The sequence below is a fragment of the Homo sapiens genome, chromosome 9 (assembly GCF_000001405.40).
Source record: "Homo sapiens chromosome 9, GRCh38.p14 Primary Assembly".
Lineage (NCBI taxonomy): Eukaryota > Metazoa > Chordata > Mammalia > Primates > Hominidae > Homo > Homo sapiens.
The window spans coordinates 13,046,749-13,060,722 of NC_000009.12; the positions used below are offsets into that span (position 1 = coordinate 13,046,749).

Here is a 13,974-nt window from a genome sequence, read left to right on the forward strand (position 1 = left end):
GATCATATGTGGGGAATAGTGACAAGGGAAGCCAAAAACTTAGACAATGGGCTTTGCGGGCCAACTGAAGAGATTGAGCTTTGTTCAGTACCTGATGAGGGGCCACTGAGGGGACTTAAATGGGAAATAACACATTAGGCCTGAATTTTTGAAAGATCTTCCTGGTACCAATCTGAGGAAAAGATCAAAGGAGAAAGACCCCAGAGGTAGGAAGTTCATTCAGCAGACGATTGTATAGTATTGGTAAAAACAAAGATGGCCTGAACAAGTTAGTGGGAAGATGGATAAAAAGAGGCAGCCTATTTTAGGAGACGTAGAGCAAGAAGTGACATTTGGTGATTAATTAAATCAGAATTTTGTGGTAAGTGTGAAAAAGGGATCTAAGTAGACCCTTGAGGATTTCTAACAAATATTTGAGTGGTTGGTTCTTTAACCCAATTATTCACAGTTCCAAGTGAGTAGATCTTTGAAATTGTATCTTCTGTTATAAACCTCTATTTAAGAAACCGCAATTACCTTCTTCTTCTTCTTTTTCTTTTTTGATAGAGACAGGGTATCAATCTGCTGCCCAGCCTGAAATGCAGTGGTGTGATCATAGTTCACTGCAGCCTCGAACTATTGAGCTCAAGCTATCCTCCTTCCTCAGCCTTTCAAGTAGCTGGGACTACAGGCACCCACCACCATGCCCAGCTAATTTTTCAAATTTTTTGTAGAGATAGGGCCTTGTTGTGTTGCCCAGGCTGATCTCAAACTCCTGGCCTCCAGCGATCCTCCCACCTAGGCCTCCCAAAGTGCTGAGATTACAGGCCTGACCCACTGCACCCGGTCCCATTACCTTCTTCTACGTTTCTTCTGGACTGAAGCAAATCTTCATTCCCTCTTTTCTCGAATCACATTGTTTTGTTGTTTTTGTTTCTTTTTTAATGGAAGAGCCCACTTAAGCTCAATAATTACTTATGGGTATGGTTCCTTTCTTCTCAATTATTCTCTAAGAAACCAGGTGCTATTTCAGGATAAAATATTCCACAGCATGTGTTCGTCTGTCTCCAGGATTCCCCCGTCTCCCAGCCAGGTCTGGGTTTTATTGATCACTAACAAAGTAACTTACATGTGCAGTGTAAATAAACATGATATTTTATTTTTGTAAAAACAAGGAACCAACAACTTTCAAGAACTGGGTTGGCTAAGGCTCAAGCCAGTTTCTATTAAATAAGGATTCATCTGGTCACTTGAATTTCTTACTCACCCTCTGGAGACATTATGTGTGATTGGATTCAGACAGTTTGCACAATGCAGCAGATTAGCTAATTGCTCCTCTGCCTACTATAAGCACAGCTGGCTACATTGGTTGAAAAACCAACCCAGGGAATAGGCTATGAAATTGGTATTGAAGCTTTGGCAGCAGACTAACCGATCAAGATACTGAATGCAAAGCTAAAACACAAAGCACAGCTTGTTTGGTTTGGTTTGGCTTTTTTATCAGTAATTTCTACTGGCGGAGACAGATGTTTCTTAAAGTGGCAAGAGATTTGCAAAGCAGAATGTTCTACCACTTACTGTAATTGCTTTATTAATATTGTATGTGTTTATGGCTTCTATCTTCTGGCTTGTGGCACCTCTTACTTTAAATGACTTTGGGTTTCCTGATGACTGGCAGTTAATCTTGACTTCAGAGATTCTTTGAGTCATGCATCCAGCTTTGCTCCTGTATAGTGAATTATTTCATATGAAGCCGAATTCTTGTTTGTGTTTATTACGCTTAGAAGCCCTCAGGCGGCACTGAAACATCATCAGACAGTGGTCCTATGTATGTGTTTATGTATATATACATATATACACAGACATACACACACATACATATTATATACATATACACACACATATTATACACACACACATATACACACACACATATACACACACATACACACACATATATATACACACACATATATACACACACGTATATATGAAAGGGAACCTCTGGGTAGCTGAGAAGTCCACACTCAATTACACACCCTACAACAGAATGGACTTATTTTATCCCCAGCCAAGTCTCAGGCTTAATGTCAGCTACAGTATCATTAGAAGGACGTAAAAGATTCTAACCCAGCATCTTGAAAAGACTGGGTCAGTTTGGGGGAGTAAAGTTTGCAATAGACATATCCTAAAATAACCTCTCTTTTAGTGCTTCATTTATTTTGCTTTGAAAGTACAGACCATATTGTAATTATCTTCCAATGTGTTACTAAAAAGAAGAAAGAAGGAACTAATAAGGAAATAAACCAACAAATGAAAATTAAATTTGGAGTTGAGATTTTTCTGAGCAGATTTGTTAGTTTGTTCAGCAGCTATCGAATTTCTTTTCTTCCCTCATCTGGCCTATCAAAGTGGCTTTTAGCTTTTCCGACATATTCGCTCAATAAGCTCTTCTGCAGTGTGCCTGCTTACTGAATTTTCCTGGATAAGGAGAAGGAAAGGGCTTCGTCTGGGGAATTTTAGTAGGAGATTTGTGGTTGCCATCATTACTGTAATTTGTTTCAGGTCTGCCCCTAATGACAGCTTGTGGGTTAAGTCTCGGCACCATCCAGCCACAGGCCGCAGGGATATGTGAAAAAGGCAGGAAAGCCTCCCCAAAGATCCTAATTACCGAGTCATTTCTAGAAACTGCTGGGACTTCCTTGTGAAACCAACTAGCAGCAGAGGGCTGAGCCGTGCATTATGTAGTCAACGTTCTGCACCATGCTGTGACAGTAAAATTCCCTTGTGCAAACACTCACAACTGGAGGCCTTCATACTCCACTGGTGAAAAAGAAGCATCTTTGTTTAATTCATGCCACTAGGAGAAAGCCTACTCGATATTTAATTTTAATCTAACATGTCAGATTTTTTCCATGCCAACAAATAGCCTGCCAGTTATGCATAATTCATTGTAGTGGACAAGACCTACATCAGTTTTAGAGAAAATGCTGTTGAGAGATATGGTGTAGCAGTCAGCATAGTCATCTTCCCGGGAACATTGGATTAAGGTATTTTCAAGCCGATCAATGTAGATGGTTTATGTATAGACAGAAATTAGTTGGTGAAAAAAGGAAAAGCACTGAAGTAGAGTAAAAACATGTAGATTTTGGAATACACCCTTCACGAGGAGCCTAAATAAGTATAGCTTAAAGCAAATCACAGACAATCTTTCATATTTCAGATTCTTCATCAGTGCCACTGGCCTTTCTTTCATAATGTGTGTGAAATGGCTTCTCGAACAAGCAAAAAGAATCAGAACTGTGCATATACTTCCAAGATACTGCATTATTGCTGCATTTCATTTGCAAATATTAAGAAATTTGAGCCAACATTGGCTTTTTAACTCTCATGATTTAAAAATGTCAAATGATACAGAATTACTAGAACCTACATTCCACCATGACAAATCTATTATCACCTGTTTTTGTCATCAGTAAGCAACATCTCCCTGCTCCACAAAATCTAATCTAATTTCTCCGCTTAATGCTATTTTAATGCTAATTTGCTAATAAATGTTTTTTAAAGCAAGTGGAGAAAAGTATCTATAGAAGTTACATTTCATGTATGTAAGCTAATAACATCTTGCAGGTAAACAGAGATTACTTATAAAGGCCAGGTTAACATATAATATTATTAAAATACTACCATTTCCTCAAGCTGTTCAACTGTACAATCCATCTGACACATTAACATACTGCATAGTTAAAAGGCTGCACTTGCTACATTTTCCCCAGATTTTTGTTTCATTTATAATATTATGTACAAAAAAAGTCATGTTCAAGATACTGCTTATCCTCAACACCCCTGAAGTGTTTTGACAGCTATATGACTTTTTTTTAAGTAACAGAGCCATGTATACATGCATTTGTTCCTCCTTAATAATTTTTTATCATTTACCAATATTTTCTTTCACTTTTCCTTATGGTTAGCTCTTATGTTGTACATTTTTTCTTTGTGGTAACCAACCTTCCAATGGATGCCACTGACCAGAAGCTACCTTTCTTACCTCTGGCTATTTTACATGTGACACCTTCCTGACCCACAGTAAAATTTCTTTCATTAAAAAAGAGGAAAAGGAAAGGAAGAAAAAGTAACTCACAGATATTTTTGCTCCAATTTCTCATTTTCTTCAGTTCCATGATGTGCAATTCTCAAGAATCTAATGTTCCTTGGGCTGATCACTATTCTCCTTCAGTAAAACCACAGGATGTAGCTGTTGGGCACAGAAGCTAAATGTCATGAATTCAGTGCCCTGCTCCTCGGCAGGAGACTCTGGCTGCGTGCTTTTTATGTAATTTTTTTTCACCTCCACTGCCTTATTGTGCTAACGAAAGTTGGACAGTAATAACTAGTATATTTTCACACTGCAGTTAATGATTGTAATAGTATAAGGTAAGAGGGTAAATACTTATTAACACAAAAAAGTACAGTATAACCAACCCTACAATGAATAGAAAAAATTATTTCAGCAGTTGATGAAAACATGGATACATTTGACAGAATTGCTTAGGGGAAGAAAATCGCTTGCAGGCCTCCTGAAGGCAAATTAACTGGGTGTGTACCTATTTAATCCTTTCAAGACTGTAAGTCTAATTGTTGAAAACTGCCACCCTTCTTGTCTCCTACCCAAGTCTGAATAGGCACCCGCTGGTTCTACCTTACCTTTTGGTAGCTAATCTGAGTTTCTCTTCCCAAGATGCACCACAGTGTCTGCACGATAAAGGAGGCTAATAATACCTTCCTAGGAAATTCTAGATTCTGTTTCCTGGGGTTAATAGTTGATCAAATAATGGACAATCAGAGAAGTATAGCCATTTGGATGAAGAGGGAAGGAGGGAGCAGCTATGGATAAAACAGGAAAAAAAAGATACGTTCAGCAGATATTCCATAGATTATCTAAATTCATTTTTTATTCTAAATTAACACTTTCACGTAACGTCTTTCGATGCCACATTGTCCTATTAGCTTGCTGGCTAGACTTATTAAATAAATCTATCTGTCTATCTATCTATCTATCTTTCTATCTATCTATCTATATTTTAATGAGATTTCCATGATCATCTTGTTCCTTGCTGATCTAGCCATTGACAGCTTTCCCTGGAATATATGGAATATATTATCACAAGGAGAAGGCACTCATCATATTTAGGGAACGAATCCATCAAACCTCAGAAGAGTAAAATAATCTTAGTTAAATGCATTAGAAGTAATTTAATAAGATTAGTAAATTAGCAGTCTAGAGCTCGAATCTGAAACTATTTTATGAGAAATGTCATGAAAGTGAAGAAATTCTCATGAGACAATTGACTTATGAAGGAGATTAATTTTATAGTTCTTGCAATTTGAGATGAATCACTTAAGCACTCTAGCCCTCAGCTAAATCATAGCATCAATAAAAGAAGCGAACAGGGTTGGCCAAGGTGGCTAAAACTCTAAAATTATTAGATTTAGGTTACATTTAAACTTGTGATTATTATTGAAGAAGGAACAGAATGACTTAAGAAAATGAGAGCATAGATATATCATTTTAGAGTCTGTGATAATATAGACTTTAGCAAAGTAGAAATATGCAGTTCAGAGTAGAAATATGCAGGATTCTATGGCCAGAGAATCTAAAAATTTCACAGGAAAGGATGGGAGAAGCTAATATTTCCAAGCAATCACAGAAAGGAAGAAAAAGGAAAGTATTTAAGGAACTATGTCACTTGGAAGCAGACATGAAAACAATATTTGGAGAGCAGGGGGCTTATTGGGGATACGAGGGGTGATGCTGCCTGTGTAAGACAACAGGAGAAGGAAGCAGATTTGAACAAGAAAGACCATCAGATCACAATGCAGTTATGACCCTTGTGAAAAGAAACCAAAAGGTGCAGGATTGGGCAGGGGGCCTCAGACAAAGTTTCTGCCAGCCCAACCGGAGCTGCAAACGGAAGACTGCTGATGGGAGCTGTCTTCCAAAAATGGCCAGGCCCTAGAATTGGCTGGGAATATGGGTTCAGCCATTGGCTGGAGACTTCCGAGAAAGTGGCCTTGGGACTTCCCAGGGTGGGACAATGTACAATGGGAAGAAATTTATGAAGAACACACAACCACGGTGAATCTACACTGATTGAACTGCTCCATCTTTTTGCCCAATGTATGTTCTGGGTGTTTTCAGGATCCTTCTTGTGTGGATTCTCCCTCAGTCCTGTTGATAAGTCACAAGTGAGTGAGTCGCCAAGCCACATTTTGTCTCCTCTTGGAGGCAGCCCCCAACCCATTCACTAGATAGCGTTCTAGATCCTTTAGTAGGTTGTATTTTGAGCCCCTCCTGAAGCTATGCAGGAGGTCCTTGCCCAAGTCCTTCCCTTGGTGGGACTTTGCTGGGTTACTCAAATGAAACATCAGTAGGATGGCAGAACATCAAATGAATCAGTGGCATCCATGGTTGGGTCAATGTACATGAGAGGTTAAGATCCCAAGAGAATGTGAAGTCAGATAAGGACATAGAGTCCAAGGAAATATGGAGTGGATGTGGGAAACAGGTTGCAGAATCTATGTTCTGGGGATAGAAGGGAAAAGGCCAGTGGTGGGCGTGGAAGATGGACCAATGTAGAATCCAGTGTCAAATGGGGCTCTGAGGGAAGAAAGGCACTCAGTGGCAGTGGTGAACAAAAAGAAAGTCAGAGTATGGCTTGGTCAGAGATAGGGTGGAGACCAGAAGTAAGAAGGTCAGAGTGAAGGATGCCTCAGTGAAACCCACATGTGACAGGGAGAGAGCAGCATCAGTCTCCAGCTGCCCACACAACAGAATGTCCTCCTCCATGGTTGCTCCATCGCATCTTGCAGAGCAAGGATTTTACTGTAACTGCTCTGGAAAGCAACCCTAGAGAGGAGCTTGTGCAAATTCCTCCAGGAGATAAATACAAAGATTATGCAGAAACAGAACAGGTTCAGGCAAGCCTGCCAGGGGTCACATCCTCTGTATCATGATATCCTTCTCTCCCTTGCCCCAAGGCTTGCTCCCATGTCTCCTTCCCTATGGATTCTCTCTCTCACATCAATGCCAGGCTGTACTGGGTCCGTAGAATTACACAGGGCAAGCTTGGAAGAGAAATACAGGAAATAATGTAAAATATTAATTATATTTTTTGTAGAGAAATATTCAGTGCCACCGTGGAGCCTTTCAAGAGAGCTCTTTAGCAGAGAAAGTAGGAGCATGCATTATATCAGATGAAGGTAGGAGCAAGGGATCTTGTAGGATGCAGAGTGACAATTTACACTGGAAATAGACTCTTTCAGATGAGACTCTAAAAACCCAAGAAACTAAAATCAAAGAATCAATATCAGCAATAGTGAGGCTCACATATGTACAGTGTGTTACCATTTACAAAGTGTTTCCACTCCTTATCCCAGGTGGTTATCAAACAATCTCATGAGATTTTCAGGCAAGGTGCTCTTCCGGAAAAGGATCCTGAGACTCAGGGAAGTTAAATGACTTATCCAACACACAGAATATCTGCCTCCAAATACTCATTCCATTTGGCTGGTCCACAGTGCCCAGATATTTGGTTAAACATTATTCAGGATGCTTCTATGATAGATTTTTTGGATGAGACTAACATTGAAATTGGAGGACTTTGAGTAAAGCAGATTGCCCTTCATAATGGGGATAGCCCTCATTCAGTCAGTTGAAGGCCTGAATATAACAAAAAGCTGACCTTTCCCAAGCAAGGATTTCTCCAGCAAATTGTATTCAGACTCGAACTGCATTAACTTTCCTCTGAGTCTCCAACCTCCCAGCCCACAGGGCAGATTTGGACTTGCCAGGCTTCATAGTTGTGTGAGCCAATCCTTTAAATAAACCTCTCTACATAGACACACACACATCCTATTGGCTCCATTTCTCTGGAGAATCTCACACACACTGCATCTCATGCCACCACCCAGTAAGCAAACTGTATTGTCCAGATCCACCATTCTTTCATTCTTATGCATGGTCAGAACAAGGAATCCAAGAACTCCCTGGGTTCTGCTTTACTTCTTATGGACCCGTCTTTTGATGGTTCTGTTTCTGAGAAGGACTTTCTCTAGAAACTGAAATCATCAGAGATTGTGAACGTGGGTCTTCATGGAATGGAGATTTTAAGGTTAACCCTTGGAAATCACAGAGTTGAACAGGCAGAACATTAGCTGTTACTATTTAACCTTTGGTCCTTTTCCTGGCTTGCTGCATTGATGCCGAAAGACAAGAAAAGAATGAAGAATCTTGGACTTAATTCTCACTCCCCTCTCTTTTAGCAAGCTGCAGACATTCATTATTCATGAATAATATGCCTTTCTGGATTGCATTAATTAAGATCAATTTTCCTTCCTTGTTATTCATTTTTTAAAGTGCATAAAATAATTTTCTATTGTTCCCACTCTGGAAAAACTCAAATAACAAAGATTTCCTACATGAGGTTCTCACTTGATATTTCTACAAGCAGTCCTTTGCTGATGAGGGGCACAGACTTTCCAGTCTTTAAGAACATCTGTGCTCGATTTAACATAATTCTGCTCCCTGAGCAGAGATGGGGTAGCATCTGATCAAAGGCTCACCGTTATTCTCCAGGTCAGCCCTAACACATGGAGGATCATCCGAAAGACACCTAAGATGGGAAGGCAGCTGGGGAATGATATTGAGGGACTGCTTTCAAGTGTCCCAAAATCCATTCATAAGCCAATCTGACACCCCTGAGTAAGATATTTGGGATCTACCCTACAAACCTTGCCCCACTCAGGTAGATGGTCTGTGGGTTTTGCATCAAAGTCCTGGTCCCTGCTCTAACTTCCTTCCTGCCCAAATTCTTCCCCTAGAATGTATTAAACAGAGCACAGATGTTCTATTTACTGTATTAATACTATTAATACTAATTATATTAAATAGAGCACAGATGTTCAGAAAGTCTGAAGTGTACCCTAATTTTTGCCAATTCTCAGGCATTTATACTCATGAAATCTTCTCCATCTTTTATGCCAGCTTCTCCACATAATCTATTTTGGCCCTGCATTAACCCAGACACAGACCTCAACCTCCGCTTCAAGCATCATGAAAGCATGTCACTTGCAAAAAAAAAAAAAAAAGCATTAACCAGCAAAGCCGACTGTACTGAAAATCCTACATGGGTGATAAATGGAAAGAGGGTGTATAGCCCATCCCCCTACAGTTTAAATTCCTTTCTATGTTATCACTCTCCAACCAAAGTCCTTTTGTACCGCTTTGTCCTTCAGGCTCTCAATTCCTCCTCCTCCACTGAAGCAGTGTCTTGCCCTGCAAGTCCCCCTCTCCTCTCTCCCAGGTCCTCACACCACCACTACCACAACTACCACAGTATTTCAAACTCTTCTCTCTTTCTTATATAGAGCTTGTCAGCTCTTCAAACTCCCTACTCCAACCTGGATAGTGAGGTTCATACTGATTTGGAGAGTAAGTGAGGCCTAACTTTTTAAGACAGCAGTGGGAGCCACATAGAACCATATTCGTGTGTGTGTATGTGTATGTGTGTGTGTGTGTGTGTGTGTGCGTGTGCGTGTGTATGTTTTGAGTCACATCTGTAGGTTACATCTTCGGATGTAAATTAGGAAAAAACTTTCCTAATTTTTCCCATCTACTTGGTAACTTTGCTACAAAATCCTTTCAATACTTATTAAAAATAATTAATGGACTCATGTATATCCTGGTGTATATATTTGTCTGTTTTATCTACCCATGTTAGCCAAACATTTAAGAGATTCATAATGTATTTTTGGCCTAATTATTAAGATTTTAAGCTGGTGAATACACGCACTGCATCATTTCTGTACTTTGATTTCTTCAATTCCTCTGCTGGTGCTAATGTATCACCTTGCTCAGAACTGCCAAATCTTTCCCATCCATGGGATGAGGCTTCACCAGAGTTGGCAGCTCCTCTCTTTCACAAATTCCTTTGGCACCAATAGCTTCTCCTGAGTTGCTAACCTCAAAGGGCTATGTCTTACTTCATTTGGGCTGCCATAACAAAATGATATAAACTGGGGAGCTCCTAGACAACAGAAATATATTTCTCGCAGCGCTGGAGGCTGGAAAGTCCAAGATTAAGGTGCCAGCAGATTTGGTGTCTGGTAGGGCCCACTTCCCCATAGATGGCGCCTTTTTGCAACGTCTCACATGCTGGAAGGGACAAGGCTGCTCTTGGGCTTCAACAAGGGCACTAATCCTGTTCATGAGTGTGCTTCCCTCATGACCTGATCCCCTCCCAAAGGCCCCACCTCCTGATACTATCATCTGAGAATTTCAATGTACAAATTTGGGGGGACATAAGCATTCGAACCATAGCAAGCTTACACGTCAGTCTCTGCCACACCCTTATCTATCCTCTCTTTAATGAAAGTTGCATTTCTGACAGAAAAGTCCCTGTGCACACCTTAGCATGGCTGGCATTGAATCTAAAGGCCAAAGGACTCTCATATCTAAAAACATACTTTAACGTTTTAGAAAAAATCAACTCCAGAGAAACTATTTCCAGGTGAGAAATAACTCTAAAAATTACTCATCAACTGCATTCTTCAAAAATATCAAAGTCAAGGCTGGGTGCGGTGGCTCACACCTGTAATCCTGCCGTTTGGGATGCTGAGGCAGGCGGATCACTTGAGGTCAGGAGTTTGAGACCAGCCTAGCCAACATGGTGAAACCTCATATTTACAAAAATACAAAAAACAGCTGAGTGCTGTGGTGTGCGCCTGTAATCCCAGCTACTTGGGAAGCTGAGGCAGGAGAATCTCTTGAATTGGAGAGGCAGAGGTTGCAGTGAGCCAAGACTGCACCACTGCACTCCAGCCTGGGTGACAGAGTGAGACTCCATCTCAAAAAAAAAAAAAAAAAAAAAAAAAAAAAAAAATCAAAGTCATAAAAGACAAAGAAATCTGGGAAACTGCTCCAGATTAAAGGAGATTAATGGGGCATGATAAGTAAATAAGTAATATGTGATCCCTACTGGGTCCTGTACTGAAGGAAAAACATGCTGTAAAGCATATTGCTAGGTAGGCAAATTGACAAAATTAGAATAGAGATGCTACATAAGATAGAAGTCCTGTGTTCATGTTAAATTTACTTAAATTGATAACCGTACTGTGGATATATATAAGAGACCGTTCTTTTTCTTAGGAAATACACATTTAAGTATTTAGAGGGAAAGGATCATGATGCATGCAACTGAATTTCAAAAGTTTGAAACAAAGAATGATGTTTGTATAGATAAAGAAAGCAAGTGGCACAAACCATGAACAATAAATGCATCTGGGCAAAGGGTTTTGGGATGTTCTTTAGTGTTCTTGGAGCTTTTCTATGAGTTTCAAATTGTTTCCAAATAAATGATTCTATGTAATGGCCCGTCAGTCAGTCCCACTGAGTTTTTACTCCCTTTGAGATGGACAAAGCTTGGGCCCACAGCTATCACCATCATACCCAACTCTCCAAAGTGAGCAATTCCAGCTTTTAGACAGTCGTATTAGGTTCTGTCTCAGGCAAAAATACTGAGATCTTCTATTAAAATTGTATTTTTAATGTTGTCAATAAAGGTTTTAAAATATATTGGAAAAAAGAAAAAAGAGTAAATGAAATAAAAATAAACACTACATATAAAGATATAAAAATAAAAAGAATCACGTTTGCATCATAATTTGAGACTCTTGCCTTGTTACATACCAGCTGCGTGACTTGGGAAATGTCATTTTACCTGTTTGTTTTTCAGTTTCTGTATATGGAATGTGGAGCTAAAAATCCCCAGTCACATGACAAATGGTAAATATAATTAAGAACATAAATAGAATCAGTAGAAGCTTACCTGGGCTTGAAATTTCTTTTTGCAGATGATCGTAATTATTATGGGGGGATCAGGTACAGCACCTAGCCTAATAATCTGTGGGACACAGTCCTACAAGCCTAGAGATGATAGGCTTGTCATCTTCCTGCCAAGATGTAGCACTTCAGTCTTCTTGTTTTTACGCGTTAATAGCACTACCCCACAGAGCTAATCTGCTGAAGACCAACTCCAAGACAAACCCCACCCCATTTCAGCCTTTTCAACACAATCCTTTCAGGCCACACTTTTGTCCACCTCTGAGTCCCCCTTTCTAATGCTGGGTTCACCGATTTCACCTAATTTCTATTTCTCTTCAAAGGTTTTCTATGTTGGGATAAACCTGCCCTTGCCCCATATTTGCTTTACCATGCATTAGAAAACCAATTTATACTTATTACTTATTTATTGAGATGGAGTCTCGCCTCTCGCTCTGTCTGCCAGGCTGGAGTGCAGTGGCAAGATATTGGCTCACTGTAACCTCGGCTCCGCCTCCTGGGTTCAAACGATTCTCCTGCCTCAGCCTCCCAAGTCGCTGGGATGACAGGCACGTGCCACCATGCCTGGCTAATTTTTGTATTTTTTAGTAGAGAAGGAGTTTCACCATGTTAGCCAGGCTAGTCTCAAACTCTTGACCTTGGGTGATCTGCCCACCTCGGCCTTCCAAAATGCTGGGATTACAGGTGTGAACACCCAGCCATTGCTGTCCTTTCTAATAGAAAAATTTTGTTGCCAGCCTCCTTCAACATAGAAACAAATCCTCGGGTGGAGACATCCAATTCCTCTGTACTTTGTTCATCAGTTTAATTATCTGGAGAGAAGGCTGTGCTTGCATGAAGGGTTTGACCTGCATTTGGAAATTGCAACCTGCCATCTCTGGGATGAAGGGTGTACTTCACCAGAGTCTTGATTGAGGCAATGGAAATTTCCAGTTGGAAAACTTAAGACAATGAAACATGAGGCTCTATCCTACAGTCCAGTGCTAAATCATACAAAATGAATTTATGTTTGAAAAGAATACAAAGGTTTTGACACATGGCATATGTAGTTGCAAGCACATATCAAAATATACACGTTTTTAGAGAATTATTTTAAGCAATTTTTTTAGGCTCAAATCCAATTTTTTCCAGGTGTTACTTTTAAGAAATCATTCTTAAAATGATTATTATTCATTTTAGGGGACACTGTTTCAGACCTGGTGTTTTAGGGCTTTTGTATAATAAAATAACATTTGAGGAACAAGAAAATTTTTTCAACTCATCACATAACTGAAAAACGATAATCAATATTTCTGCTGTCTAACTCCCTTTTCCCAGAGAAAATAATTAATGACCTTTATTTCCAGGATATCAGATAAGGGATTTCAAGAATGGAATACAGGAATTACAAAAATGTGTATCAGGCCCAAGAAACTAAGGAGGAAATGGGTTTAACTCCCTATTTTTTATAATAAGAAACAGAGGTCCACGGAAGATTTACCCAGGACTACTCAGCTCGTGACAGCACATCCAGGTCTTCCTTGGTCTCCGCGCTCTGGATGCTGTCCTATTCCATGGTCCTGCACATGCCACCAACTCTGCAGCCTTTTCCTCAATATCTCTTCTCCTCTTCAAGGCCTCTTCAAGGCTTTCTAGACAGGCTGCTTCAGATAACACCCTGAAACTGTTCTTATTTCTATTCTAGGTGTCTTCTCACTGCTATATGAAGATTCCTCTCAACTCTAATGGAAAATGCCATTCTTGTTCACTGAAATGCAATTTGATACCATTTGCATCTAGGGGCTCTTCCTTTCTTTCTTTTCTTTTATCTCCATTTATACAACATTTATTGAACATCTCTGGGTGAGAAGAACTATGATAGGTGCTGAGGATATAAAGAAGAGTGAGACAAATCTCCTGCCAGAAAGAACTCAGTCTTCCTTCTGCTGTCATGACAGAGGACATAACCCATCTACCAGCTTGCATTCTTTTGGTTCTTATTCTTTTCTGTTGGACATGGACATGATCTAGCTAATATTAGATGATATTTGTTTACATGAGTTCTATTATGTCTGCCCATCCATCCATCAGTCCATGCATCTATTTATCTCAACAGC

General features: G+C 39.8%; 1 pseudogene; it reads right to left on the reverse strand.

Annotated features, from left to right (window-relative positions):
* The window catches only part of LOC100130801 (lupus La protein-like), a 28,279-nt pseudogene extending 25,273 nt beyond the window's left edge, over nt 1-3,006 (reverse strand).
* Between the last annotated feature and the right edge of the window lie 10,968 nt (nt 3,007-13,974).